Genomic DNA, 25,637 nt, shown 5'->3' with positions numbered 1-25,637 from the left:
GCTGGTCTCAAACTCCTGGGCCCAAGTGATACTCTGGCCTTGGCTTCCTAAAATGCTGAGATTATAGGCATGAGCCACTATACCTGGCCCTAAAAATTAAAACATAAAAAGGTATACAGTAAAAAGTGTCACCCCATCCCTGATTACTCTGTATCACAATCAGTTTCTTCTATCTCCTCCCAGGATTTCTTCCTAGTTTTACTTAAATACTCATTTTAAAATTCACATCTTTTAACACTAGAAAAGTAACAAATTGAGCTAGTTTCACCAATGACTACTGTAGAACATTGCATTCTTTTATTTTATCTGCACAAGACCACAATGAGACAAGCATTGCTTGCCTGTGTTTTACAGAAGAAGAAACGGAGGTTCAGAGATATATAAGGAACTGCCCCAAGGTTGCAAAGCCAAGGGTGACAAAGCTGGAGTCAGAACTGTTCTTTCTGGGGTCTCTAGTCCATGCTCAAGTGGTCTACTCATCCCAAAAGGTCTCTTTGGGACATAAGGGGCAGGAACAAGGTCATCATGGGTCGGGGTTCAGTCTGGGATTTGAGGTCCTGAGATCAGGCTGAGTTCAGTCCCCTATTAATCTATAAGATCACCATAGGCAACCATTTCTCTTTCTATCCCCAGTGGCCAGCTGGCACACAGTTGATGCTCAATTTATAATTGTTGAATAATAAATGAACAAATGCTGCATGAACAAATGCATTGACAGACAGGTGGATGGATCAGCCTGTGACCAGCAACATCAGTGGCTAAGAAAATTCCTCCCTCCATTGCCCCTCTCCTCCCTACTGTGGGAAGCTAATTAGTTCTTGAGGAATCTGACCCTGCCCTCCCCTCCCTTGCCCTCATTAGCACTGGCCATGGCATGCTGAGTCTGTCTCCAGGGACAGTCTTTCCAGGCATCTTGCCAGCGAGGCTCTGAATTCATGGACTCTCAGAGCTGGAAGAATTCTGACAGAGGAGGTATTTCATCACCACCCTGTTTTATAGGTGGGAAACAGAGATCCAGAGAGTAGCCCAGGGTAGAGCCGGGTGACCCCACATGGGACCCGCAGGGAGGCCCACACAGAGCAAAGAAGCTGTGACCAGCAGCGTCACAGCAGCTCCACTGGGGCAGCCACAGGTTTTCTGGCCCCAACCTCCTTCTTCCCTCCTCCATCGAACCTGGTTTTCCCCTAACCTATTAGAAACAGTGAAAGCACACAGCCTATCCCACCCACCCATGATATTACTCCCCCCGAGTAGGACTCTTCTCCTGCCTGGATCACCCTATCTATTAAAGATGTCTATTAGCCATCTATTAGCCAGGCTGCTCCCCTGGGAGGAGCCTAAGGGATGGGGTGCCAGCCACACTGGAGGGCTCTGAGAGGTTGCTCAGCTCATGCTGTGTCTGTCTCCCCTGCTCTGCTTAGAAACCAGGCCTCCTGGCCTGAATCCAAGCTCTGCCATTTGCTAGCCGTGTGACCTTGGCAAGTTACTGTACCTCTCAGAGCCACAGTCTCCTTAACTTGACATGAGTGTTGGGAGGCCACAAAGAGATCATGAAAATGCCAAGGCCTGACTGCCATGAAGCCCAGGTGGACAGACAGAGGGCTCATGCTATCCTGGCATAAGCTGGCAATTGGTCACCCCATTCCACTCCCTGGAAAAGGTCAGATACTCTTCTAGCACAGGGGATTGACTGAAGGTCAAATAGCAGGAGATTCCAGAGCTACACGGAGGCAGAGCTTACTGCCCCAAAACACAGAACCTCGGAATCTCAGAGGTGGCTGTCACCAAGTCCAATTCCCACACAATTCTTGCATCTTCAAAACAACATGCTGAGTGTGCAAGTCTCTGCTGACATACTCAGGTGACGAGCTCACTCCCCCGGGAGGTGTCTTCCACTAATTAACATTCCTCAGCTAGAAAGTTCCTCCTTACATTCACTTCCAATCACTTTTTTTTTTTTTTTTTTCTGAGACAGGGTCTTGCTCTGTCGCTGGAGGGCAGTGGCACCATCATGGTTCACTGTAGCCTCAACCTTCCAGGATCAAGTAATCCTCCCACCTCAGCCTCCTGAGTAACTGGGACTATAGGCATATGCCACTATGCCTGGCTAATTTTTGTATTTTTTGTAGAGACAGGATTTCACTATGTTGCCCAGGCTGATCTTGAACTCCTGAGCTCAAGTGATCCACCCACCTCAGCCTCCCAAAGTGCTGGGATTACAGGCGTGAGCCACCACGTCCAGCCATCATCCGCTTTCTTGATGTGGTTCTGCCTCCCCAGGCTGCACAGAGAAAAAGTCTTCTCAGCCGGGCGCGGTGGCTCGCGCCTGTAATCCTAGCATTTTGGGGGGCCAAGGCAGGTGGATCACGAGGTCAGGAGTTCGAGACCAGCCTGGCCAATATGGTGAAACCCCATCTCTACTAAAAATACAAAAATTAGCCAAGCGTGGTGGCGGGCGCCTGTAATCCCAGCTACTTGGGAGGCTGAGGCAAAAGAATCGCTTGAACTAGGGAGGCAGAGGTTGCGGTGAGCCGAGATCACGCCACTGCACTGCAGCCTGGGCAACAGAGCGACATTCCATCTCAACAACAACAACAAAAAGTTTTCTCTTTCATTCCAGCCTGACAGCCCTGCAGAGATTTGCAGATACATCAGATCCCCTTGGGACAGGGTCAGGATAAACATCTCTAGTCCTGCCAGTGTTTCTTATGACACAGTTGCAGCAATAGTAGCTAATATTGATTGGTCACTTACTGTACACCTATACACAGACTTTACTCATATTATTTAATTTCCAAAACAAACCTACAAATCACAAACTATTATTATGCACACTTTATTGATGAGAAATCTACGGCTCAGAGAGGTAAAGTGAGCTGCCCACGATCACAGAGCCAGAAGGAGTAGAGCTCTGTTCACACCTGGCTCTACGTTACTGCAGAGAGCACCAGGCTCCTGGCTGGCCGGTTCCCACCTTGCAAGGCTCATAGAAAGCACTTCAGTGTTTGATTACTCCAGACCTCTCAATGCCCCTGCATTTTTCTGCTTTTCTCCTTACTGGCTCTAGAAGGCCATGGGTTTAGAAAATCCTCAAATGTCAGAATATGAAGGGCCTTTAGAAATAAGCTGGCCTGGGAGGCCCAGCCAAGGAAGAGGTCAGAGAGGAGGATGTGAGCCCAAGACCAGGTCAGCTGACTCTCAGTGAGGCTCCATGCACAACCTGGGCTGCCGCTAAGATCCCATCACCACCACCTCTCTGAGCTTAGAACTGCTCCCAAGCTACTGTTCTGGAACAAGAGGAATGGCAGAAAAGGCCAGGAGGTAAGAGAGCCCTGCCCTCCAAGGCAAGCTCCTGCAGCCCGCACTCCAGCCCACAGTGACTCCATGGAAAAGGAATTCAGCAGGAGGTTTGGACCAGATCCAGCCAGCCATCCAGATGATTTTCGCCACCCTTCACAAACAAAGCTGGGGAGGCGGGGGGACACCCTAGAGTCCCTCGTAGCAGGGCACCAGGGGGCAACTCCATCTAAAATTCCTCAGACTAGGGAGCTGCCCTCTCTGGCAATATCCCAGGCAGCAGCTGCTCAAGATCATGCTCTTGGTGTCAAAGGTGGGGGTGGGGAGGTAGCCAAAGGCTACAGGGGACAGGTACCTCATTGAACCCTCAATCGGCCTGGCTGTGGCCTGCACTTGTGCAAGTCATGATGTCCCCACCGCCTCCCCACCTAAACTTCTGCAGGGCCAAGTTGGGGTGCTAGCCCTTTAAAGACCCACCCTGGACACTGGATCAGGAGCCCTGAAGATAGGCCTTCAAGAGAGGAAGGGGTGGAGGGCGGGCACAATGAAAAGCTGCCTGGGGTCAGGAGACCTGGGTCCAACAGGGTAAATCCTGAAGTGGGGGAGTAGGCGAGAAGCCCCAGCACAGCCATGAGAAGGGGCTTTGCAACGACTGCTGTCACTACTGAGCCCCTGCTGCAGCCCAGGCTCAGTGCTGTGCACTTTATGCTCACCACCTTGTTCAGTTCTTACAACAGCTCCCAGACATAAGTCCTGTGATTCTTCTCATTCTGCAGATGAAACTGGGGCTCAGAGAGACCTGCCCAGGGTCACACAACTTATGAGTGGCAGAGCTGGAATCCAAACTCAGAAAAGTCTGGCTCTGAGTCTAATCTCTTAACTATTCTCCTTCCAGACTAGGACTCTGGAAAGAGGAGAAACAAGAGAGGCTCCAGTGCTCTTGGATGATGGTCTGCAAAGCCCTCTGCTCCCTCATCTTGTGATCAATGCCCCTCAGCAATGTCTTCTCCCCTGAAAACCCAGCTGCCTAGAACAACTCCTTCTTTCTTCCACTTCTTCCTTTCAGGAGAAGAGTTGATAAACTCATTCTTACTAAGGTAGAAAGGACTGATAAGGCATGAAAGATGAGTAGAGTGGGAAGATCACTATGTTGGGAGTCAGAAGACCCCAGTTCTTGTTTGGCGTAGAAAGGGACAAACCCTTTCCCCCACCCCTACCACCCACTGTGGACAGCTGCTTGTTCTGCCCACCACTGGGGCCCGTGTGGATGGAGGATCCACAGGAGGGAGGTGGGGCCGGGGAAGGGAGGCCAGAGCAGAAGGTCAGGACAGGGAGAATTCAAGGAAATGCTTCTTCACACGATGCCGTCAATGGGAGTGTCCAGCCAGGGTCAGGTGGGGCGGGGTGGGACAGAGAGCCAGGGGTAGGAATAGAGATTGGCTCAAGGCAGCCCATTGTGGTAGTCCAGGGGTCTTGGCGACAGGAAGGGTAAACAGGCTGGGTAAACTGCCCCCCTGGTGAGGTCAGGAAGGAACCAATGACTGGCCACTGCACAACCTCTGGCTCAGCTGGGGGCAGGAAAATGGAGAGGCCTGAGTAATGGCCTGGCTACCTTGCCAGCCCCTTCCCCATTCCTCCCACTGAAAGGAGGAAATGACACAGGCTCCATGCCCTGGAGAATTCTCCATCCCCAGAGTCATGGCGAGCGCAATCTGACTGGGGTCGGCAGACTGCCAGACCTCCTCTTGGGAGGAGAACAATCTAGACTTTGGTGGGAAGGACTGCCGGGCATGGGAGAAGACACAGAAATGGGGTGGGGAGCCCCAGGCCCAGCCCCCGCCTCACCACTCACAGGCTGGCAGAAATCACCACATACCTCTCCCTTGATGCCCAGAGGACAGACTAAGATCAGAGGGGGGATGCCACATGCCCTAAGTCATATACCCCAAGCCACAAAGGCACCTCCGGGTGCTCATCTTACTCACTCTGCTAGGTCCTCCCTGAAGCCAAGCTTCCCCCTGGATGCTCCTGCCGGCCTTCAAGCCTTGGTTCTCAAAGCCTCCGGCAAAGGCAGCCAATTGCTTGGCTGACGAAGCCAGGAAAATCCCACATCGGCAGCAACATGAAGGAGCTGGATGTGACTTTTCTCCTCCACAGATGACTCAGCCCAGCTCTTTATCAGGAAAACCGATTTTGCAACAGCCTTTTAAATGGCCTCTCCACCCCCAGTCTCTCCCCCGCCAATCTACCCGCCCCACGCTGCCAGATTCATCTTCCTCCCTCCGGGCTCCACTCATGCCTCTCTCCTGCTCAAAACCCTCTGCTGCCTCCCCAGGACATGGAGGATCAAGAGGAGAGTCCTCATCCTGGCATTCAAACCCCTGCTATCGGGGCCTGCCCAAGAGCTCACTCACCTTCTCTCTGTGCCCTCAGCAACAGTGGAGGGAGTTCAGTGGCTTGCAGTTCCCACAGCTGCCCAATGAATTCCTGCCTGCAAAGCAGCGTTTGCACAGACCCCCTCTACCGGGAACCCTCCTCTGTCTCACATCCTTTCTACATGCCCTAATCCTTCAGATTTCCGGCCTACCTAGAATGCCACCACCCCCTCCAAAAAGCCTTCACCAATGTTCTGTCTGCATCACTTAATAACCACCACCTTGTGTATTATTTATTCTAGTAAAAGTAATCTTTCAGGGTATACTCACCACATGCCAGGTAGCAGGACAGGGCCTTACTTCACTTACTTCCACAGCAACCCATGAGGCCAGCACTATCCTCATCTCCATATTAGAGAAGACGCTGGCTCAGAGGGGTGCAGCAACTTGCTCAAGGTCACACAGCCAGCCAGAGGAAGAGCTGAAATTCAAGCCCAGGTTGGCCTAATGCCCAGTGCAGGGCCAGTCACGTGGGCCATGCTGCCCCCTCCCAGTGTTTTGCTTTGTAGCAATGAGGGTCTGGGCCCTATTTTCCCCCAGAGACTGCAACGGCCTCGAGGGCAGGGGCCTCTACTGCTTCACTTCGGTATTCCTCCCTTGTCCCCACCACATCTTCCATTGGCACTTGCAGAATAAACATGAAATCTATGAGAATGACAAGAGCCAACATTTTGGGAGCACCAGATGCTGCCAAGCCAAGGGTTTAACATGCCTTTTTTCATTTAATCCTCACAGCAACTCATAGAGGAGGTTCCCTTATCCCCATTTTGTAGATAAGGAAGATGAGGCACACAGAAGCAGCTAACTCACCCCAGGTCTCACAGCTTAGCAAGGGGCCCCTGCGGTCTGACTGATCTCAAGCCTGGACGCCTTCCTTCTGAAGAGCTCCCCACAAAGCAAATTCACCTTCCTTACTCACCCATCCAGGCCCAGCCCAACGGCCACTTCTTGTAGGAAGCCCTCATCAATCCATTCAGACTCCTAGATCAGTGCTCCTCCCCTGTTCAACCTGGCCCAGAGGCCCCAGAGCAGGAACAGAGCTCAGAGGAAACGGCAGGTTGAGAAAACTCAGAAACCCAGGGGAAGGAGGCTGGGCCTGGCCAAACTTCTGGTTTCTCTCTGCTGGCAGTGGGTCGGGATCAGGGAGGGCAGAGATGGATGGGTAAGGGGAAGCTAAGATGAGGGCTCCACAGTCAGCGCAAGCCTGACCCATCTTCTATCCTTGCAGACCACAAGCCCTGCTCCCTGTTGGCTGACCAGGGCCCTGCCAAAGGCCAGGAGCCACAGCCTCTCTCTTGCCCATTCTACTGGGGTAATTATTAATCTATAATCAGTCAATTTTTAGAAACTTTGAGATGGTAACCCAGAGAGAGGCAAGCTGAGCCCCAGGTATACAGCAAACTGAAAAGGGAGGGCTCACAGAGAGGATCACAGGATCACAGCCCAGGCTTCCACCTCTCCAGTCCAACCCTGGTGAGCTAAGCCTGTGCTCACGAAGCCCCCTCCTGCTGTTTCACTCTCCCCAGCCCCAGCTCCCTGGAAGCCTTGGGAGTACAGAAAGAACCATCATACCCTGCCTTTCCAGAGAAAACACATAATCTAAAAGACAAAAAGGTGGCAAGCCAGGGCAGGGAAAGAGGTGGTTTCCCCTAAACAGTGCCTCTGCCAGGGTCAGGGCAGGGCCTAGGTCATCTGCGGGTCCCCTCCACTCTTCCCAGGGCCTGACACACTCTGGGCCCGCCACAAAGATGTGGTCCTTCCCCTTAGCCCTGTGCCAGCCTAGGGCCAGGACTGGTCTCTGTCCTCTGTAAATGTCCCCAGACTCAGCAGAAGCCATCACCCAGGAGGGGTTGAAACCATCACTGTGTTGATTAAATAAACTACTAAAGGACAAGCACTTCCAGAATCCAAAGCCTCCCCCTTCACATTTTGCTTCACCATTCATCCCTGGAGATGAATTTTAGATTTGTCTAAATCCAAGATTCATCTAGATTCTAGATCAAAGATCTAGAGGGTGGTTCCTGGGAGTGGGAGGAGAAGGAAGGAGAGAGCAACACGTTTGTGAGGGAAGGAGATGAAATCTCAAATCACTGTGTTAGACCTAAGGGGAAGAATGTTTCATGAAGTGAGGGGAGAACATACAACCTAAGAGAAAGATGAATTAGGATGAAGCAATCCAGGAAGTCTTCCTGGAGGAGGTGACATATGTCCTAGCTCTTGAAAGATGGAGATAAGGAAGCATTCTAAGCAATGATGATAGCTCAGCAGAGACTAGGAGGTTCAAGATAACCCCCACCCCACTCCCCTACCTACCCCCATACCCCAAATCAAGACCAGCTGAATAGAAAGGAAACTTTGATAGAGGAACACACCCACTGGGCTTGCCCAGAGGCCAGGGGTGAATGGGGAGGGCTAGGCACAGTTCCACAGGAGCTATGTACATTACCAGGCTCATGCCCGGAGACCAGAACCTGGGCCTCCGGGTGGGTTACATAACTGCCCCCAACTCCTTGGGCCACAGAGCCAGCTGGGACCCTCCGCCTCCACCTCTCCTGCCATCTGTCTCAGCAGCTTCCTTCTTATAGGAAAGGACGCCGTGCAGCCCAGCTGAAAGTGAAGGACAGCGCCCTGTGGTAAATTCCCCACATTCCTTCCTCACAGAAAAATAAATAACTCAAAGAAAAAACGCAGGAGGAACGATAATGACAAAGTCACCGCACATGGGGTAAACAACAGAGAGATGAGGTTTATCCCCAGGAGGCGTCATCACCAGCCTGGGGCTCTGGGACAGACAAACCTGCCCCCAACCCCTGCGGGTTCCCCAGACGGGGTCTCAGGCGCGCTCACAGCTGCCAAAGAAGGCGCTGGGAATCCCTCAGTCGTGGCAGGTGGTCACCGTGTGCAAACTCCTCAGGGGCCGGGTGCAATCATGTTCATTACTCAAGTTGCTGCTTACTGAGCACTTCTAATGTGCGAGGCATTCGGTTTCAGTGTTATCATTTTTCATCATGTTGTTTTATTTTATCCTCACAGGCTGTGAGTTAGGGAGTACCATTATTCCCATTTTACAGATGAGGAAACTGAGCCTCAAAAAGAAAGGTTTTGTGATTTGTCAAGGTTATTTGGCCAGTGAGTGGATTGTGGGTTTCCAGCCGGCCCCTCACTCCCGAATCCATTCAGCCTGCCCGCTCCTCCCACAGACAGCCCTCCTTTACCAAATCCAATCAGAGGTGCAGCCAGTTCTTCCCCCATCTATGGCTCAGCAAGGCATCCTATTCAAATTGCTGGGCTACCTTCAGTAAATCACTTCACCTCTCTGAGTCTCAACTTCATCATCAGTAAAACAGGGATAATAATATCTGCTTTGCAGAGTAGCTGCTGAGTAAATGAAATGCAGCAATGATTTCTAAAGTATAAAGCACTGTGCACACATTGGGGGGTGGTTAACTGTAGGCTTTTGCACACACCCACCTCTGCGTAACTCGACCAGGCTGGGGCTGTATCTGTCTCTCTCCCTGTCTTCACCACCCCTCTCTGGGTCTGGTCTCACTCTTCTGCTCATTATCAGACACAGTCCAACCCCATCCCCCTTCCCAACACCCCCCACCCCGCGTTCTCTCTGCACAGGGGATCCCCATGTCACTTCTAGCCAGAACCAGTTTTGAACCCCAGGCCCCCTCAGAGGAGGACACCATGGCTCTGGGGTGCTGGAGGCTGCTGACCCTGCCATGGCCCTCTCCTCTGCTGCCATTCACCAATTACCAGGCAGGTCTGGCCCCACTCCAACAGGAGGAGTCTCCTGCCAGGGAGAGGCTGAATCATGCAGTCCTGCCCTCCATGTTTCCCTCAAATTATAAAAGAAAAGAAGACTAGAAGTCAGGAGATTTGGTTCCAGGGTCTGTCCTGTCACAATTTGGGTGAGACACTGGGCTGATCCCTGACCCTCTTGGGGCCTCAGTGCATCCAATTTGTCCAAAGGAGGGATTGGACTGGACTGGTGGTTCCTAGAGTGTGGTGCCCCCACCACTAATGGAAGCAAAAAGGATTTTAGGTGGTACCTTGATATTTAAAATCTTAATAGTTATATACATTTCAAATGTGAATTGGAAAAGAGGTATAATGAACACACTTGTGATCTCAGGTATATTACTGCTTAAGGAGAGGCTAAAGTGGACATTTCACTAACAAAATTTAAAGAAAATATGTATAGGTGGTGCATGGATTCATTCATTCAACAAGTATTTATTACACACCAACTAAGGGCCAGGCACCGTTCACAGGCATGAAGGGAAACAGATTAAAATCTCTGCTTGCATTCGGGTAAGGGAACAAGATAATAAATACACAAGTAAGTCAGATGGTAAATGCTATAAAAAAATAAAGCAGGGACTGGAGATATATGGACTGTAAGGGGTGAGGAGTGATTTGCAAAGGTAGATATGATAACCAAAGCCATCCTCACTGAGAAGGCACATCTGAGCAAAGAACGGAAAAAGGTGAGAGAGTGAGGCATATGCTTGTCTAAGGCAACAGTGCAGGCAGAGGGAACAGCAAGTGCTAAGGTCCTGAGGCAGGCTCATACCTGGCAGGTTTAAGAATGATAGACATAATGTGGAGGTAGGACACGAATAAGAAAAGTGTGGGCTGGGTGCGGTGGCTCACACCTATAATCCCAGCACTTTGGGAGGCCGAGGCGGGCAGATCACTTGAGGTCAGGAGTTCAAGACCAGCCTGGCCAACATGGTGAAACCCCGTCTCTACAAAAAATATTTGCCAGGCATAGTAGCGCATGCATGTAATCCCAGCTATCTGAGGGGCTGAGGCAAGAGAATCACTTCAACCCAGGAGGTGGAGGTCACAGTGAGCCCAGATTGCGTCACTGCACTCCAGCCTGGGCAAGAGAGCAAGACTCTGTCTAAAAAAACCAAACAAACAAAAAAATGTTTTCTTTAATGGCCCTTCTCCTTCTGAGCTCTGCATTGCAACCATTTCCATACACACACACATACACCTGCAACATACACGCATTCTCAGTAGCCTCTTAATGCTGGAGAGGCTCCAGCCGGCAGCAGCACATCCTCCTCTGCACGTATGCCCACACACAGAGGTGCTGCTTGCTTCAAGCCTGTGCTACACACAGCAGAGCGTGCCCAGGCACGCATGCACACCCACAGAGGGGGCAGGACGTACACATAAATATGTGCACACTGAGCACCCGCAGGTACACGGGACTCGTGGAAGGCTGGCATGGATGGATGGGCATCAGGTACACACCTTGTGGGACGTATGTGTTTCCTTCCTGCCAGCCTGCCCCGTCTTCAGGTAACCGGGTTAGCAGACAACTCTTGCCTTGAGGGCACATGCTCCTGGAGAATGGACAATGCACCGATGGTATGGTTTCAAATTCACTTCTCCAGGATCTCTGCATCTCAGTCATAGTCTCCCTTTTCCAAGGGTACATTAAAATCTGCCACTTGATGCTCAAATGACCCAGGGGATCATGTGGCTGTGGAGAGTGTCCCCTTTGTGTGTGTGTGTGTGGTGTGTGTGTGTGTGTGTGTGTGTGTGTGTGTGTGTTTTAGACAGGGTCTCACTCTGTCACCCAGGCTGGCAGGCTGGAGTGCAGTGGTGCAATTACAGCTCATGGCAGTGACCTTCCAGGGACAAGTGACCCTCCTGCCTCAGCCTCCCAAGTAGCTGGGACTACAGGCATGCACCACCACACCCGGCTAATTTTAAAAAAATTTTTGTACAGACGAGGTCTCACTTTGTTGCCCAGGCTGGTCTCAAACTCCTGGGCTCAAGCAATCCTCCTGCCTTGGTCTCTCCAAGTGTTGGGATTACAAGCATAAGCCACTGTGCCCAGTCAAATGTCCCCTTTTCTATCCTTATTGCCATTAAATGGGATAAGCCATATGAAATGCCTACCATAGCACCATACACCTTAGCACCACCACCAGCATCCTCACGTGTCACCAAAGTCATCTCCACCTTCATTCCTCTAGGGCACTTGGAGGCAACTGAACAGTAGAGGGAAAGGACCAGGCCAGGAGCTGGAGATCTGGGTTTTAGCCTCAACCTGGTCTGCAATTCAATGTGAGGCCTCTGGCAAGTTCCTTCCCCTCTCTGGTCCAGATCAGAAACTTGCAGGTGCTTCAGAATCCCTCAGGGAATGTGGTCAAGATGCAGATTCCTGGGCTTTATCCTAGACCGGAGGAACCACAGAATATACACCTTAACAGGCTCCCGAAGGGGTTCTGTGTACAGCCAGGTTGGGAACCCACTGGGCTTTAGAGTCCATGATCTTATAACTAAGTGTGTAAGTTAGTGAACACAAGAAAATGTCTGGAATACAGACTTTCACACAGTAAGACTCCATAATGTTAATAAAAATACATTTAATAAAATATATTTATATAATTGTCTTTTTTTTAATTTTTATTTTAATAGAGGTGCGTTTTCACTATGTTTCCCAGGCTGGTCTTGAACTCCTGAGCTCAAGCAATCCTCCTACCTTGGCCTCCTAAAGTGCTGAGATTATAGGAATGAGCCACCGCACACAGCCTATGATAATTATATACGGTAATTTTATAGCATTCCTTGAATATGCACAACACTTTTATAGTTTTCCTAGCACTTTTCATCCATCAGAGATAGAGACAGAGCAAGGATTGTTACACCATTTTACAGACTAGAAAACTGAGGCAGAGAAAGGGCAAGGGACCTGCCCAGGATCTCACTGCACATGGTTCATTGGCTCCTAGCCAGAGCCATTGGCACAGCCTCATGAGGTGCCCCACCTCGGGGCCTTATCCTCTCATCCCATGTGATTTTGACTCCCAGCCCCCAGTGTAACTGTCCTACCACTCCAGGTTTATGAAAACTCTGAGCACACATGACTTCTCCATGCCTCTGGAGAACAGGACAACCTCAACCAGTTAATTTCCTTCCAGCCACAAGACCCCTCTCACTGGCAGTGCAGGGAGTTCCCAGAGCCCTAACGCTACACACTACCATCTGCTCTAAAATAGTTGTTTTATTCTAACTAATCTGAGTTCAACCTGATCACTAGCTATGGTGACCTTTAGCAAGCCTTATATGTGCGGAGCCTCAGTTTCCTCTAAAAGATTCTTAATTCCCACTCTGCTATGTTATTGCTCAGATCAGCTCTCACACAGGCAAAGGCCTGAAACCTATACTACTGCACATTAGCTCTCTGGCTAAAGTGTGAGCTCCTGGAAGGCAGGAACCCTGTTTCCCCCACCCATGCACCCACACCTACAGCATGTAATATGTGCTCAATAAATATATGCTGAATGCATGATGCAAGGAAATGATATGGCCAAAGCAGCTCTTTCCTAGTCCTAACTGACCATGGTATTTCATGAGTCATTTCCCAGGTCGAGGGGTAGGGACTCTGAGCAGGGACGATCAGGGCCAGAAGGAATGGTTTCTAGGTCCTGGGAAATTGCCCTCCCCTCTGCACATAGTGGACCACCTGCCATGGCTGTGATGAAGGCCACGCTAGGAGGGCGGTGTTCTGGGAGTCCCGAATGTAATCCTGTTGACTCACAAACATAAATAATGCACTAGTATGTTCTCTCCTCACCACCCTGTCACACTAAGAATAGCACCGGCTACTCTTTCAGGGATTCCAAGGGGAAGAGGGCAGGACAGCAAGATAGGGACAAGCAGGGAAAGACGTCACTGGGCTATGGACCATCAAGCACTCCTTCTCCAAACCCATAAAGCAGAGGAGCCTGGAGGGCAGAGCCGAAAGGGCCCTTAGAGGCCAACTGTCAGAAGCTCTCAGGGGGTGAGCAGATGGCACCTGCCCCTCCACCAGCCTGTTTTATCTTTTCCTCCTCCTGACGCCCATCCTAATAAAGCCTGTGCCTCTAACTTACCCCTCCACACTCCTCCCCCTCCTTGTTCATGGGATGAATAAATATACAGTGGGTGGGTGCCCTCTTATGTGTTTATATGTAAAGCTTTAGAGAAGGAAAAATATGCTATAGATTTTCATTTATCTTAAGTTTAAAAATAACTGACCTAGAATAGCGCTTCTCATAATTTAAAGTACATGGAAATTACTCAGGAATGTTGTCAAAATGCAGATTGTAATTCAGGAAGTCTGGGATGAGGAGGCCTGGGATTCTGCATTTCTAACAAGTTTCTGGGTGATGCTGATACTGCATCCATGGGCCATACACCGAGTGTAGAAAAATTAGAGTATTTATCTATAATAGAGATGGGGAAACTGATGCCCAGGGAGAAAAAGGGGTGTGCCCTAGAGCGTACAGCAGAGCTGGGCTCAGGATGCAAGCCTCCTGCCTGCCATCCCGGGGTTTTGGCTCCAGGGTTGGCTGGGGGTTGGTGCCTGGAATGGAACAGGGGACAGGCAGCCGTTACAGGCAGTGGAAGTAGGTCTGGGGCGGCCTTCATTCAGACACAAGCTGACCCTCCTTTGTCCACAGACTCCCACAGGGAATAAAAGGAAATAAGAACTCACCTGAACAGGGGCACTCAGCTTGAGTGACCGCAGCCTCCTGCCCAGGAACGCACTCTCACCAGCTTGCATCTGAGGCCTGCTGGGCCTCCATAACCCTCCTTGAAGAGATGGGGGAGAGAGGGCCCCAGACTCTGCATTTAGCCACCTCAAGAAGTGGCTGGGGGGGCATGAATGGGGTCTGTCGATAGCACTATCAGGGTGGACATCCAAGGGAAAGAGGAAAGGAAAGGAGCAAAGACCCACCTCCTAGATCAGCACCAGCATGCTCCTCTTTCCTATGATCCGCCTCAAGCCCCTTCGCAGGCTCCAGGCCCTGTACCACCAGCCCCACTGCCCTGACCCCTGCGCTGCAGCTCCCGTCGTGGTGCTTCACCTCCCAGCCTGCCAGGCTCCAGCCATGCTGACCCTCTTTCTAGTGCTCGGCCAGCCCAGCACTTTCTCCCCTCAGGGCCTCTGCACTGGCTGCTCCTTTTCCTAGAGCTCTTTCTTCCCTTGCCCCCTTGGCTGCACCTTTCTGACCACACTTCTCATCCTTCAGGTCTGTTCACAGGTCCCAAGGCCCTCAGAGGTCACATTCTCCTGCCACAACACTCTCTGCCTCTTCCCTAAACGCTCATCAGCTTTGTAATTCCATAAGGATTTGTTTTCACGTCAGTCTGCCTGTCCCCGCAGGGCAGGGACCTTGGCTATGTCCATGCCCCTGTGCCTCGGCCATAGCTGGGCCTGAATAAACATTTGTTGACTAAGTAAAAGAGCAAATGCATGAAACACTGCTCACATCATGACTGCAAAGCCTCCTGCCTTCATGCTCCCATGTGACCTCACTCACCCGGAGTTGTACAGGATTGGGATTTGCACAATTATCTGGGTACTGGCCTCTGCTCTGCTGCACCCTAGCTGAGTGGCCACTGCAGGTCACCTCTCTGAGTGGGGTCTCCTGCAGTGTCTGTCAGGTCTAAATGAGAGAAGAAATCTGGGAAAGAACTTTGATTGACAGCATTACTCTGTCAATGTTTGAGGCCCAGAGAGGGAAAGGGCTCATTCAAGGCCACACAGCCAGTGTGTGGGGATGCCAGACACCCCTGGCACAGCTTAAAGTCCACAGCTGAGCTTCAGGCCCACCCAAGCTCAGTAAGAGCACCATCTGCCTGGAGGCTGGGCAGGGATGGAGGAGGGAGAGGAGAGGGTGGATGGGAGCATTCAGCCTCAGGCCCAGAGCCAGGGTATGGTGGGCGGGGCCCCCAGCAGGAGACCTGAGTGGGGCCTGGCAGCCAGGCATGGGGGAGCCAACTGGCTCAGGTTGGGTGGTGGCATGCTTGTTCTCCGTGCGCGTGACAGTCTATTTTTTAATCAGTACTCTCCCCATCCCCCAACTCCATGTGCCCTCCCAAAGGGCCCCATATTGGGAATAATGTCCTGGCTGAGGAGGCCAGGGCCACCTTAGGGATCCATGGGAGGGTCCCCAACATCTCATCTTCCTATGGAGCCCACAAGAACTAAGCGGCCCAGAAGGCAGGACAGGAGGCTCAGGGATGAAGCGTGTCCTCTGCCTGTGTGACCCTGGGCTGCTCCCTAAACACTCTGACCTCAGTTTCCCCTAACTGTACAATGGTGGCGGTGTGCCAGACTGCGTGGGAGTTTATTACAACTCAAGCACTTAGGAGCCACTCAAGTTCCAAGGCACTAACAACGCCCACTCATCAGGCCATGGCAGAGCCTTCCATGCCCACAGTGACTGCAGGGCACCCTTGATCCTCTCTGACCTACTGCCAGGGGAATAGAAAGGTTGAGCTGGTTCAAGGGCCAATCTCAGAGCCCCGGACCCTAGACCCAGTGAGGCTCCTCCTTCCAGGACCTAAGCTTCAGGGATGATGAGGATCAAAGATGAATGCTGTCTGTTCTGGGATAGGTGGCTTGCTTTTTCTGAGCCCCTGGCACTCCATCTAGTGTGGGAGAGACCATGTTGCGAAGAAGTTAAGCACACAGTTTTTGGGGCCAGACTGCCTGTGTTTGAATCTAGCCACTTACCAGGTGTGCGACCTTGGAAGCTCACTTAACCAACTTCTCTGTGCCTCAGTTTCCCATCTGCAAAATGCTAATAACAGTACTCACCTCATGGAGTTGTTGATGCGTAAAGAACTTAAAGCACCCATGGTACATAGTAAATAACAGTAAACAATCATTTTTCAAGAACTGTGGCTTTTATCTTTCAAGCACTCTTAGACTCTAAGAGATTTTATTCTGGAGGATTACACGCAAGGGTCTCAGGTTAGCCCACTCTCCTGTCCCAGGGGCTCATCCAGCCTGCCCCTTCCTTGACCCTTGACACCATGGTGTCAGCCCCTCCTGCTAGCCCCATGTTCTTGGTGACAAGCCAGTAAGGAGCTTTGTCACACCCATGATCCCCTCAGATCCTTACTAGCCCATATCTCAGCAGTCAGAAGTGAAGCCTGAGGCCCAGAGGAAGCAAATGATTTGCCCAAGACCACCAGCCAGTCAGCTAAGAGCGGAGGTTCGAGCATCCGTTCCTGAAGCTCAGTCCAGGCATTTTCCGCTGTGCTTGTGCCTATTCTCCCACCATCAAAACCTGTTCCTAGGCCGGGCATGGTGACTCATGCCTGTAAGCCTGAGGCAGATGGATCACTTGAGCCCAGGAGTTCAAGACCAGTCTGGGCAACATAGCGAGACACTGTCTCTACTAAAAATACAAAAATTAGCCGGGCACGGTGGCACATCTCTGTAGTTCCAGCTACTTAGGAGGTGGGAGGATCACTTGAGCCCAGGAGGTCGAGGCGGCAGTGAGCCATAATCATGCCACTGCACCCCAGCCTGGGTGGCCGAGTCAGACTCTGTCTCAAACAAACAACCCAACCAAACAAACAAAAAAACCTGTTCCTGGCCAAACATCAAAAAGTAACTTATACTGAGATACAATTAGTCTTAAGCGAGAGCCCATCTCCTTAAGAACTTGCTATTTCTATTTTTTTGCTGGAGTCTCACTCCGTCTCCCAGGCTGGAGTGCAATGGCGCGATCTCGGCTCACTGCAACCTCTGCCTCCTGGGTTCAGGCGAGTCTCCTGCCTCAGCCTTCTGAGGAGCTGAGATTACAGGCATGCACCACCATTCCTGGTTAATTTTGTATTTTTAGTAGAGACGGGGTTTCACCATGTTGGCCAGGCTGGTCTCAAACCCCTGACCTCAGGTGATCCCCCTGCCTTGGCCTCCCAAAGTGCTGGGATTACAGGCGTGAGCCACCACACCTGACCGCTATTTTAACAGAGATCAAAACCTCACAATACCTAAATGGTAGCTCATTTTTTTTTAGCATTTATCATCATCTCATTTAATTTTCAGAACAACAGTATACAACAGGGTCTATTATTGTTTCTATTTTATAGATGAGGAAACAAAAACCCAGAGAGGTTACATAACATAGTTAAGATCTCCCAGCCAGCCAGGAAGGGAACCCAGAGGTCCAACCACAGAATCTGTGTATTAGCCACACATGAGGCATGCCTCCAAGAATTTAGGAGTAGACTGAATTTTGTTCCACCCGCAGCAACCCTGGGAGGCTGGACAGGGTAGGGTAGGGCAGGGTCTGCACAGTACTATACGACCCTGCCTCACCGAGTGGAAAAGCTGAAGCTAGGCTGGTGGAATTTCAGGCAGCAGCAGCCAGTTGGTAGATTTCATTCCAAACAGAGGGCTTGTGTAAGCCTTTGGAATTACAGGGCCTACAGGCTGCTTCCATGTTGACTCCTCCTCTGGCCACACTGGGTAGCAATTGAGCCCCAATATCCAGGGACAGTTCACAAAAGACTCTGACCACACACACACACACACACACACACACACAGAAACACACACACACAGAAACACACACACACACACACGACTAACTTAGCAGAGCCACTTTGCAGGCAGGCCCAGCCGCCCCTCTGACCAGATCTCAGGTGGAGCTCCTTTGGATCTGCAGTCTGAAGCCCCTGGGGATGCAACCAACACCCCCACCCTCCAGTCCCTGCCACTGGTCCCAGCCCCTAGCCCCAGAGCATGACCATCTTCTGGGAAACCTTTCCTCCCAACCAAATCCTCCCCCACCCCAGCTTCCCCATTCTTCCAGACTCCAGTTGCAGATACACCTTCCCCAGAAAGCCTTGAGCATTGCTTCAAATAAGATTCAGGTCTCTGTTCTGAAGTCACCTCTGAGAGAGGACTTTCCTAATCACCAACCCCCGGTAGCCCCCTAACTGCTCTCCATCTTAACAGCATGACTTATTTTTTTATGGCACTTTTACCTATCTGAAATTATCTTGATGATTTATTTGCTTCCTTTTTTCTTTTCTATCTCCCCAATTAAAATGCAAGTGCCTTGAGGGCAGGGGCCTGTCTGTCTTATTCACTACTGCAACCTCAGTGTCTAAGCACCCATCCCAACCCATTGCTAGCCAGGGACAGTGAGGCCCATAGAGAGAAAGGGATTTACCCAAGGTCACACAGTAAGTGAGTGGGCAGCAGAGGTTGGCCTAGCACTACAGCCCAGGGCACTTGGCCCATCTCCACCCTTCCCCAGTTGACCCTCAGCAGATCTATCCTGCTGCTGTCTCTTCACTACAATGGGGACCAGAGCCTGCAGGGCCTCACCAGTAGCACCCCCCTGTACTTCCCCGGGCCCACGGTGCCCTGATCTGGGCAGCCCTGCCTGCTTCCCCTCAGTCCCTCCCTTCCTGGCACCAGCAGCTCCGATGAGCTCATGTCTAGAAGCCTGGGAGCTGCCTTGAAGGAAAAGGTGCCTCCCAGGCCAGGCAGGGGCCCTGGAGGTGTGCTCAGCCTTGTGGGAGGGCAGCCCTGGCAGGTGGAAGGAGTGTGCTGACTCCTGCCCTGCCCACCTCCCAGAGCTGTGACGTGGGCTCAGGAAGACACATGTCAGCCCTGGAAATGGGCTGTGACTAGGGGTGGAGAGAAGATGGAAGAAGGTTCCTCCCATGCTTCTCCTCTCTCTCCAGGTGCTCCATGGACACTCATGTCGCCATTCACCTATTAAGGATGTGCTCTTTCCCAAGGAGAGGGAGCTCTGTTGCCTCCTTCCCACAGAATCACTCTGTGCAAACCTCTTCCCCTCCTTGGCCCCAGTCTCCCCAATTCTAAAATCGGATACTGGATAAAATGCCACGGAAGAACCTAGGGATGCACCAGGAACCACGCGCCTGAATGCCACAGGTTTGATTTGGTTGGTTTTTTTCCTACCTTAAGGGATGGGGAGTAGATAAGGGCAACAGCTGACTAGGGAGGGAAGGAGTTAAAGGCCTTATTTAGCCATGTAAATGCTGGTTCCAACCACAGCTTAATTTAGGTGTCAGTTGTGGGGTTGAGGGGAGCCGGCCCATGGCTTGCAAAGACGGGGCAGGCCTGGAAAGTGGGGGCTGCAAGCCAGAGTGGTAAACAACATTCCTGGGGGAAGTTTGAATATCAAGCTAGAGTGATCCTAGGCCATCCCCTTCGTACTGATGGAAAAACTGAGGACCAGAGAAGGGGAGGAACCAGACCAAGATCTCCTAAGGAGACAGAGGAAGGGGATGCCCCACCCAGCAAACAGGGTTTTTCAGCTCCCCGGGGGGTTTTCAACTCCCCTGAGGGATCTCATCTGCCTGCCTGAGACAATATGGCAAGTAGTGGGGGAGCACATCAGTTCCAGTTTGTGGCTGTGCCCCCCAACATGGAATGGGCCAGGCCTGGGCTTGGTGACAAGGCAGGCTGGCGCCAGTAAGGCTTCCAACCCCTTGCCCCAGTGTACCCTAGACCCCCATCAGCATCCAGTTTCACTTCCACTTTCTAATGGACAGGGGGTAGGGCACCCTCTGACTAGCCCTACAGCTACCACCAGCACTGCTGTCCACAGTGCAATTTCCCCCTCAGGGGCTACCCTGCCAAACCCTCTCACCGGAGGCCAAGAGAGCAAGGGTCTTGCTCCAAGATCACATAACAAGTTGGTTTATTCCAGTGCCACCTGCCATTCAGGACAGGGTGGGGGATGGGGGATGGGGCACATGCTGCTTCCCACTCAGCTCTTGTCCCTTCCAGACAACCTGGACCCCATGGACGGAGTTCCCTGGCACCTTCCGGAATACGCCCATAACTTGGGGTAATGGGGGGAGCAAAGGAGACCTTTTCCTGAGTCCTCAAAGAGGTCCTGCCAGGGCTCTGGACAGTGCCCCTGATTCCACAGCGCAGCGGTTAGAAAGGAGCCGAGCCCTCCACTAACTTCACCTCTGGGGCCTCTCTCTCACCTTGGCAAGGAGGGCAATTGCAAAGATGTTGTGAGGCGGGCAGCGCAGGACAGTTTCCCCTCTCCCTGTAGGCGCTGGGGAAAGGCCTGGATTTCTCCAGGTAGGGCTTGGGCTGGGTGGTCCCCAGGGTGTGACTGCTCTGGCATCCTGTGTGCCCCACCGGCACAGCCAGACCCCAGAGCCCGGTCGCCCCGCCCGCAGGGAGGAGTGAGGAGGCCCAGCACTGGCCGTTCCCGCTGCCCCCACGGCGCCCATGTTGGTCAATTCTGGGCAGAGCCCAACCCGCCTGGGTTATCCTGGGTCAAGTCGGTCCGACTTTTCCCAGAACGGGCTTGGGGAGACAGACTCTGGGCTGTTGCCCACCTGTAAGCCTGGGGCTGCCTCGCCCTGATCCGCTTGCGGGGAGGGGCGCAAGGGCTGGAGCCCCCACGCAGCCCAGGAGGGTAGCTTCCCGGCGTCAGGGCGTCCTCCCGCTCCTCAGCTGCTCGAAAGCCTCGATACCCCTCCAGCCCCCCACCTACAGATGGGGAAACTGAGGCCCAAAGTGTAGAAGCGACTTGGCCAAGGTCACCCCGCGTGCGAGGACTGGAGCCCAGATGTGCCACCTCCTCCTGGGCGGCGCCGGGAATAGCGCAGGTGGGAAGGGGCGAGGCTCGCGCGGTGCCCGCACCCCTGCCAGGCCAGCGCCCCTCACTCACCTCCAGCCGCTGCGCACGGTCCCCGAGCTCCCGGGCGCCGCCGCCTCGGCACACCTGGCCGCGTCCGTCAGCGCGCCCCGCCCCGAGGTCCCCGCCACCCCCGCCCCGCGCCAGGCCCAGGCTCCGCGCCCGACGCCCCCTCCTCGCCGCCGCCACCGCCACCGCCTAGCGGGCTGCTCCGGGACCCCGGGCTGGGAGCCGGGAGCGCTGGGCGGGCGGGCGGGCGGGTGAGCCGTGCTCCTGCTGCCTGCTCCCCGGGGCCCTAGCGCCGCCCCTCCCGCCCCGCCCCGCCCAGCCCTGGGGGTGCGACTCCCTCCTCCACCCGCTCAGCCTCCCATCTCCAGGCGGGGGCACCTCTCTTTCCTCTCGCTGTGCCTCACTCTCTGCTGCCTGGTTGTCTGTCTCTCCGTTTCCTTATCATTTTCTGTATCGCTAGGTCGGTCGGTCTGTCCTAAAATCCTCCTATCTCCTTCGGCTAGGAGGGAGACAGTTTCTTTGTGTCCCCTTTTCTTTTCTCTAACCCACCCACTACCCACTTTGAAATCTGCCTTTGTGATTCTGTCCCCATAACTGGTACCACCTCCCACCCTACCTCTTCCTGGCTCTCCTTTCAGACCTGGGTGCTCAGGCCCATCTTCCCCGCTATGTCTCAGCCCCAGTAACTAGAATAACTGTCTCTCTTGGTAGAACTTAGGCAAATGGGCACTGAGAAGGGTGACCATGTCCCCACCCACCTGCTGCCATCCCCTGACTTCACCAGTGGGTCAGCAACAAGGCAGGGTGCTGTATGGCAGCTCTGGGGCTCAGCTCCCCACCTTTCACTGAGCAAAATGCCATTCAGATTGAGCGTGCGAAGCCCCATGGCAGTGGCCATGTACATCAGAGTCACGTGGGATGCTGTTAAAAGTCCAGATACCCACATTCCAGCACCACTCCCATTGAGGGCACGAGCTGGTGGGCTTGGCACAGGACTGATGGCAAGTACCCTCCACAGCCCCAGCAATTTTGAAACAGAACCACGGTTGGAGAAATGCTGGTCTAGGTTTTCACCGAAGTTTCCCCGGGTTCCCCACCCCCTTGACCAGGGTGGTTCCACTTTCATCTGTCTTTTGCATCAAGAGTTGTGTGTTTAGATTTCTGCTAAAGGAAGTTAGGAATGTGCTAGCGTAAGCCCACCCCACACAAGGGCCTGTGAAACACAGACCTGCAGGTGGCCTGGGTTTGGGATGTCCCCTGTTCACACTGGGGAGACTCAGAATGCAGGAACCCTCCCTGGCAGTTCCCATTTCTCCTCCTGGCCTCATGGGCTTCAGAGAATTCCTCTGATCGTGTGGCTGCTCTGCTCTCATCATCTTGTACCCAGGGTAGAGGGCAGGTTGGGAGAGTGAGGGGTGGGGGTGGGATCCTGGGACCCCCACCAGGTTGGGGTATCGCTAACCCTGAGAGTGCCTGCTCTAGGGAAGTGGCTGCAGCCCAGCCTGTGGGAAACCAGGAAGCTGTGTGTGGGTGAGAGGAAAAGAGAGAGAGAGGCTAGGATTGCTGTGTGGGTGGTATGAAAGAGAAAGAGATGTGGAAAAGAAAGGAGAGAAAGTGATTCGGTCTGTACGTAGGTGTGTGACAGTGGGTGTGCAAGAGTGGCTAGGTCTGTAGGAGAGAATGTGTGAAAGATTTCAAAGTGTAGGTGTGTAGCAAAAGGAAATGGAGAAAAGAACATGCTTTTCACCTGTATCTATGAGAGGGAATATGTGTGTTTGTGTGAGAAAGTGTGCCTATGTCTGCTTATATGTTTTCAGATGCAACTGCAGCTCTGTAAGCAAATCTGAGACGTGTTCACATGTGGCAGCTGTGCATGGGTGAGGGGGCCTTCAGGAAGGTATGTGCCAGTGTGTACCCCATGCATGGATGTGTGTCTGAGGGCCTCCATGTGTGTGCAGTTGTGTGAGTGCATATGTGTGATGGTTTGCATGAGAACATGGCATCTATACATCATGTGTAGATACATGTGTGTTTACGGATGGATGTGAAAGCATGTATGTGTGAGTGCATGGTGAGGTGTATGTGAACCTGTGAGCAGTGCTCCTCACCATCACCCTCCTGTTACAATCACTGTGGAGCAGGGGAGTGGAGGGGGAGTAGGCAGCTTCCTGCCCAGGCTCCTGCTCCATCTGCCCTCTCTGTCACAGCCTGAGGAGCAGGAGCCTTGTTCTGGGCCCAGTGACCACTGTCAGCTGTTAACACGCACACAGGTCCCTCTGCCTGAACAAAACAGACATGTCCAGTGGCAGGACTCATCTGACAACACAGACCCACACCCCTCCCCACCCCAGAGGCTCAGAACAGTGTCCACTAGAGTTGGAAGTGGCTCTAAATCTGCTACACACCTCCAGCCTCCAATAACAAGTGGCCACCAGCAAAGGCAGGGAGGCATCAGCGGTGAGTACCCAGGTTTCCCCCAGAGCATCCGAGTGGGAGGGAATTTGGCTTGGCAAAATCTTCCAACAACTCCCAGAGCCTGAACAACCTTTTCCCAGCCCCAGGTGGGTGGAAGAACACAGCCTGCTGCCTCATCACCATGGAGACAGGCAGTAGAGAGGGTGGTTAAAAGCATGGGCCCAGACCTCCTGGGGTTCAAATCTCAGCTCCTCCACCCACAGGCTGTGAGACTTTGACAATTCACTTAAATTCCTTATGCCTTAGTTTCCTCATCTGTAAAACAGAGATAAGAAAAGTATGAACTTCACAGGATTGTTTATAGGATTAAATACTCCATATGGCGCATTTAGCACAGTGCTGGGCAGCTGAACTGGGAGGCATAAGCCCTGGGTTCCAGCCCTAGCTTTGCCACCAACTTACTGTGTGAGTTTGGACAAGTCACTTGCCATCTCTGGCACTCAGAGTCTCCATCTGCACAACAATCTCAAGAAACGCTACCAGTTATGACCAGCTGAGACTTTGGGGAGGGCAGCTTAGCATGGGGCTGTCTTGGTGAGCTGGGGGCCCTAGTGTTGGCTGAGGCCTGATCATGAGCTCTACACTACCCTTTCCTCCCCAGATCTATTTTCCCAAATTGGCAGCAGCTGATGGCATCTCTCTGTACCCTCTATCCCTCTAGCCTGCCCACAGGGCCCTGTGTTGCCCTGCTCAGCTGGTACTCAGGCCTTGGAGAAATGGCACTGGTACCCACTGACCCCAAACAAAGGTATCTGCAGTGCCCAAAGCAGAAGATATAGTGGCTCATACTTAAACCTGCCTGTGAGCCCTCTAGAGAGGCAGGTACAATTGCGGAAGGATGGATGTAATTGTTTGAAGATGCTCATAATCCTTCGGCGGTAATGGCAGGAAGCTTTAAAATGAAGCCCTAATCCGCTAATAACCTGGCAGCCCCACAGCCTTCTTCCCTCCTGATCTCCAGGAAGGGAGAAGGAACTCTAGCCACTCCCTTTCCCAAGGGAGCAGAAAGGCAAGTGTGGGCTCTGACCCAAGACCACCGGATTTTGACTCTCCTGCAAGACCCAGCTTCCTTCCTGCCTCCATCTCCAAGAAGTCTTCCCTGCCCATTTCATCCTTCTGAAGTCTTTTCTGCCCCCTCTGTCCCTAGAAATATTCTAGGACAGAACTGGATGACAGACTGGCTGGACAGTAAAGAAAGGAATGAGGCCTGGTGCGGTGGCTCACGCCTATAATCCCAGCACTTTGGGAGGCCGAGGCAGGCAGACCGCCTGAGGTTAGGAGTTCGAGGCCAGCCTGGCCAACATGGTGAAATCCCATCTCTACTAAAAATACAAAAATTAGCTGGGCATGGTGGCGGGCACCTGTAATCCCAGCTACTTGGGAGGCTGAGGCAGGAGAATTGCTTGAACCCGGTAGGCGGAGGTCGCAATGAGCCGAGATCATGCCACTGCACTCCAGCCTGGGCGACAGAGCAAAATACCATCTCAAAAAAAAAAAAAAAGAAAAGAAAAGAAAGAAAGAAAGAAAGAAAGAAAGAAAGAAAGAAAGAAAGAAAGAGAAAAAAAGAAAAAAAGAAAAAGAAAGGAATGAACCATACTGTTCCAGGCAAGAACACAATCATAGTCTCAGCTCTGGCACTAGCTGTGTGACCTTGGGTAGGGGACTTAAATCTCTGAGCCTCAGTTGCCTCACCTGTAAAATGGGGAGAATAATACCTGCCTGCCTTGAGAGTACAATAACAAGAGTGAGATGCTATCAAATGAACTGGCTTGGTGTGACTTGCCAACAGAGTTCATTAAAGGTAGTGCCTTCTTCTGTCCTCTCCATCCATGGGCTCTTCCATTCCAAGATGTCCGCAGACAACACTTTACTCCTATAATTCCAGAAGACAGTGGTGGCCAAGAGCACAAGCCTCGTGTTCAAAAAACCATGACTGGATCATGGCTTAGCAGCTTGC

The 25,637-nt window shown here is 52.4% G+C and overlaps 1 protein-coding gene and 1 long non-coding RNA gene across 15 annotated transcripts in view, besides 12 other annotated features; one reads left to right on the top strand and one right to left on the bottom strand.

Moving 5' to 3' along the window:
- Positions 1–25,637, bottom strand: part of SYNPO (synaptopodin) — a 73,198-nt gene that overhangs the window by 13,071 nt on the left and 34,490 nt on the right. For 2 of the 14 annotated variants that reach the window (NM_007286.6, NM_001109974.3), the window contains exon 1: positions 5,283–5,477. The exons of 10 other annotated variants lie outside the window; for them this stretch is intronic. The gene's annotated coding sequence lies outside the window, so the exon portion shown is untranslated. Of the gene's footprint in view, positions 1–5,282; positions 5,478–5,711; positions 5,837–21,229; positions 21,479–25,637 lie in introns of those variants that run through there. 2 more of the 14 variants (XM_024454351.2, XM_005268371.2) reach the window with 2 other exon arrangements.
- Positions 1,103–1,341: a silencer, noted in NCBI's record as "fragment chr5:150024358-150024596 (GRCh37/hg19 assembly coordinates)". NCBI's record gives its function as "represses an EF-1alpha promoter that drives an FKBP-Casp9 reporter gene in an ReSE screen in K562 erythroleukemia cells {active_cell/tissue: K562}" and the evidence as "EXISTENCE:reporter gene assay evidence [ECO:0000049][PMID:32094911]".
- Positions 4,596–5,795: an enhancer, noted in NCBI's record as "CDK7 strongly-dependent group 2 enhancer chr5:150019904-150021103 (GRCh37/hg19 assembly coordinates)". NCBI's record gives its function as "activates an origin of replication core promoter dependent on BRD2, BRD4, P300/CBP, MED14 and CDK7 cofactors, with strong dependence on CDK7, by STARR-seq in HCT116 cells {active_cell/tissue: HCT116}" and the evidence as "EXISTENCE:reporter gene assay evidence [ECO:0000049][PMID:35650434]".
- Positions 18,557–19,270: an enhancer, noted in NCBI's record as "H3K4me1 hESC enhancer chr5:150006429-150007142 (GRCh37/hg19 assembly coordinates)". NCBI's record gives its function as "activates a minimal SCP1, AML or CMV promoter by ChIP-STARR-seq in naive H9 embryonic stem cells {active_cell/tissue: H9 hESC(naive)}" and the evidence as "EXISTENCE:reporter gene assay evidence [ECO:0000049][PMID:30033119]".
- Positions 19,029–19,098: a silencer, noted in NCBI's record as "silent region_16514". NCBI's record gives its function as "represses an Ori minimal core promoter by ATAC-STARR-seq in GM12878 lymphoblastoid cells {active_cell/tissue: GM12878}" and the evidence as "EXISTENCE:reporter gene assay evidence [ECO:0000049][PMID:35858748]".
- LOC124901107 (uncharacterized) lies at positions 19,192–25,214 on the top strand. Its single transcript, XR_007058995.1, has 3 exons — positions 19,192–19,474; positions 23,023–23,102; positions 23,476–25,214. It is a non-coding gene; the product is annotated as an uncharacterized LOC124901107 (long non-coding RNA).
- Positions 19,271–19,986: an enhancer, noted in NCBI's record as "H3K4me1 hESC enhancer chr5:150005713-150006428 (GRCh37/hg19 assembly coordinates)". NCBI's record gives its function as "activates a minimal SCP1, AML or CMV promoter by ChIP-STARR-seq in naive H9 embryonic stem cells {active_cell/tissue: H9 hESC(naive)}" and the evidence as "EXISTENCE:reporter gene assay evidence [ECO:0000049][PMID:30033119]".
- Positions 19,271–20,087: a biological region, named in NCBI's record as "H3K4me1 hESC enhancer GRCh37_chr5:150005713-150006428".
- Positions 19,748–20,087: an enhancer, noted in NCBI's record as "active region_23425". NCBI's record gives its function as "activates an Ori minimal core promoter by ATAC-STARR-seq in GM12878 lymphoblastoid cells {active_cell/tissue: GM12878}" and the evidence as "EXISTENCE:reporter gene assay evidence [ECO:0000049][PMID:35858748]".
- Positions 21,298–21,457: a silencer, noted in NCBI's record as "silent region_16513". NCBI's record gives its function as "represses an Ori minimal core promoter by ATAC-STARR-seq in GM12878 lymphoblastoid cells {active_cell/tissue: GM12878}" and the evidence as "EXISTENCE:reporter gene assay evidence [ECO:0000049][PMID:35858748]".
- Positions 21,599–22,098: an enhancer, noted in NCBI's record as "H3K4me1 hESC enhancer chr5:150003601-150004100 (GRCh37/hg19 assembly coordinates)". NCBI's record gives its function as "activates a minimal SCP1, AML or CMV promoter by ChIP-STARR-seq in primed H9 embryonic stem cells {active_cell/tissue: H9 hESC(primed)}" and the evidence as "EXISTENCE:reporter gene assay evidence [ECO:0000049][PMID:30033119]".
- Positions 22,376–22,670: a silencer, noted in NCBI's record as "tiled region #14746; HepG2 Repressive non-DNase unmatched - State 21:Repr, and K562 Repressive non-DNase unmatched - State 20:ReprD". NCBI's record gives its function as "represses a minimal TATA promoter and a strong SV40 promoter by Sharpr-MPRA in HepG2 and K562 cells {active_cell/tissue: HepG2 | K562}" and the evidence as "EXISTENCE:reporter gene assay evidence [ECO:0000049][PMID:27701403]".
- Positions 22,438–22,637: an enhancer, noted in NCBI's record as "active region_23424". NCBI's record gives its function as "activates an Ori minimal core promoter by ATAC-STARR-seq in GM12878 lymphoblastoid cells {active_cell/tissue: GM12878}" and the evidence as "EXISTENCE:reporter gene assay evidence [ECO:0000049][PMID:35858748]".
- Positions 22,698–22,757: an enhancer, noted in NCBI's record as "active region_23423". NCBI's record gives its function as "activates an Ori minimal core promoter by ATAC-STARR-seq in GM12878 lymphoblastoid cells {active_cell/tissue: GM12878}" and the evidence as "EXISTENCE:reporter gene assay evidence [ECO:0000049][PMID:35858748]".

The sequence above is a fragment of the Homo sapiens genome, chromosome 5 (genome assembly GCF_000001405.40).
Source record: "Homo sapiens chromosome 5, GRCh38.p14 Primary Assembly".
Classification (NCBI taxonomy): Eukaryota; Metazoa; Chordata; class Mammalia; order Primates; family Hominidae; genus Homo; species Homo sapiens.
The sequence above is the reverse complement of the archived record's forward strand: the minus strand, read 5'-3'. Positions and strand labels throughout refer to the sequence as shown.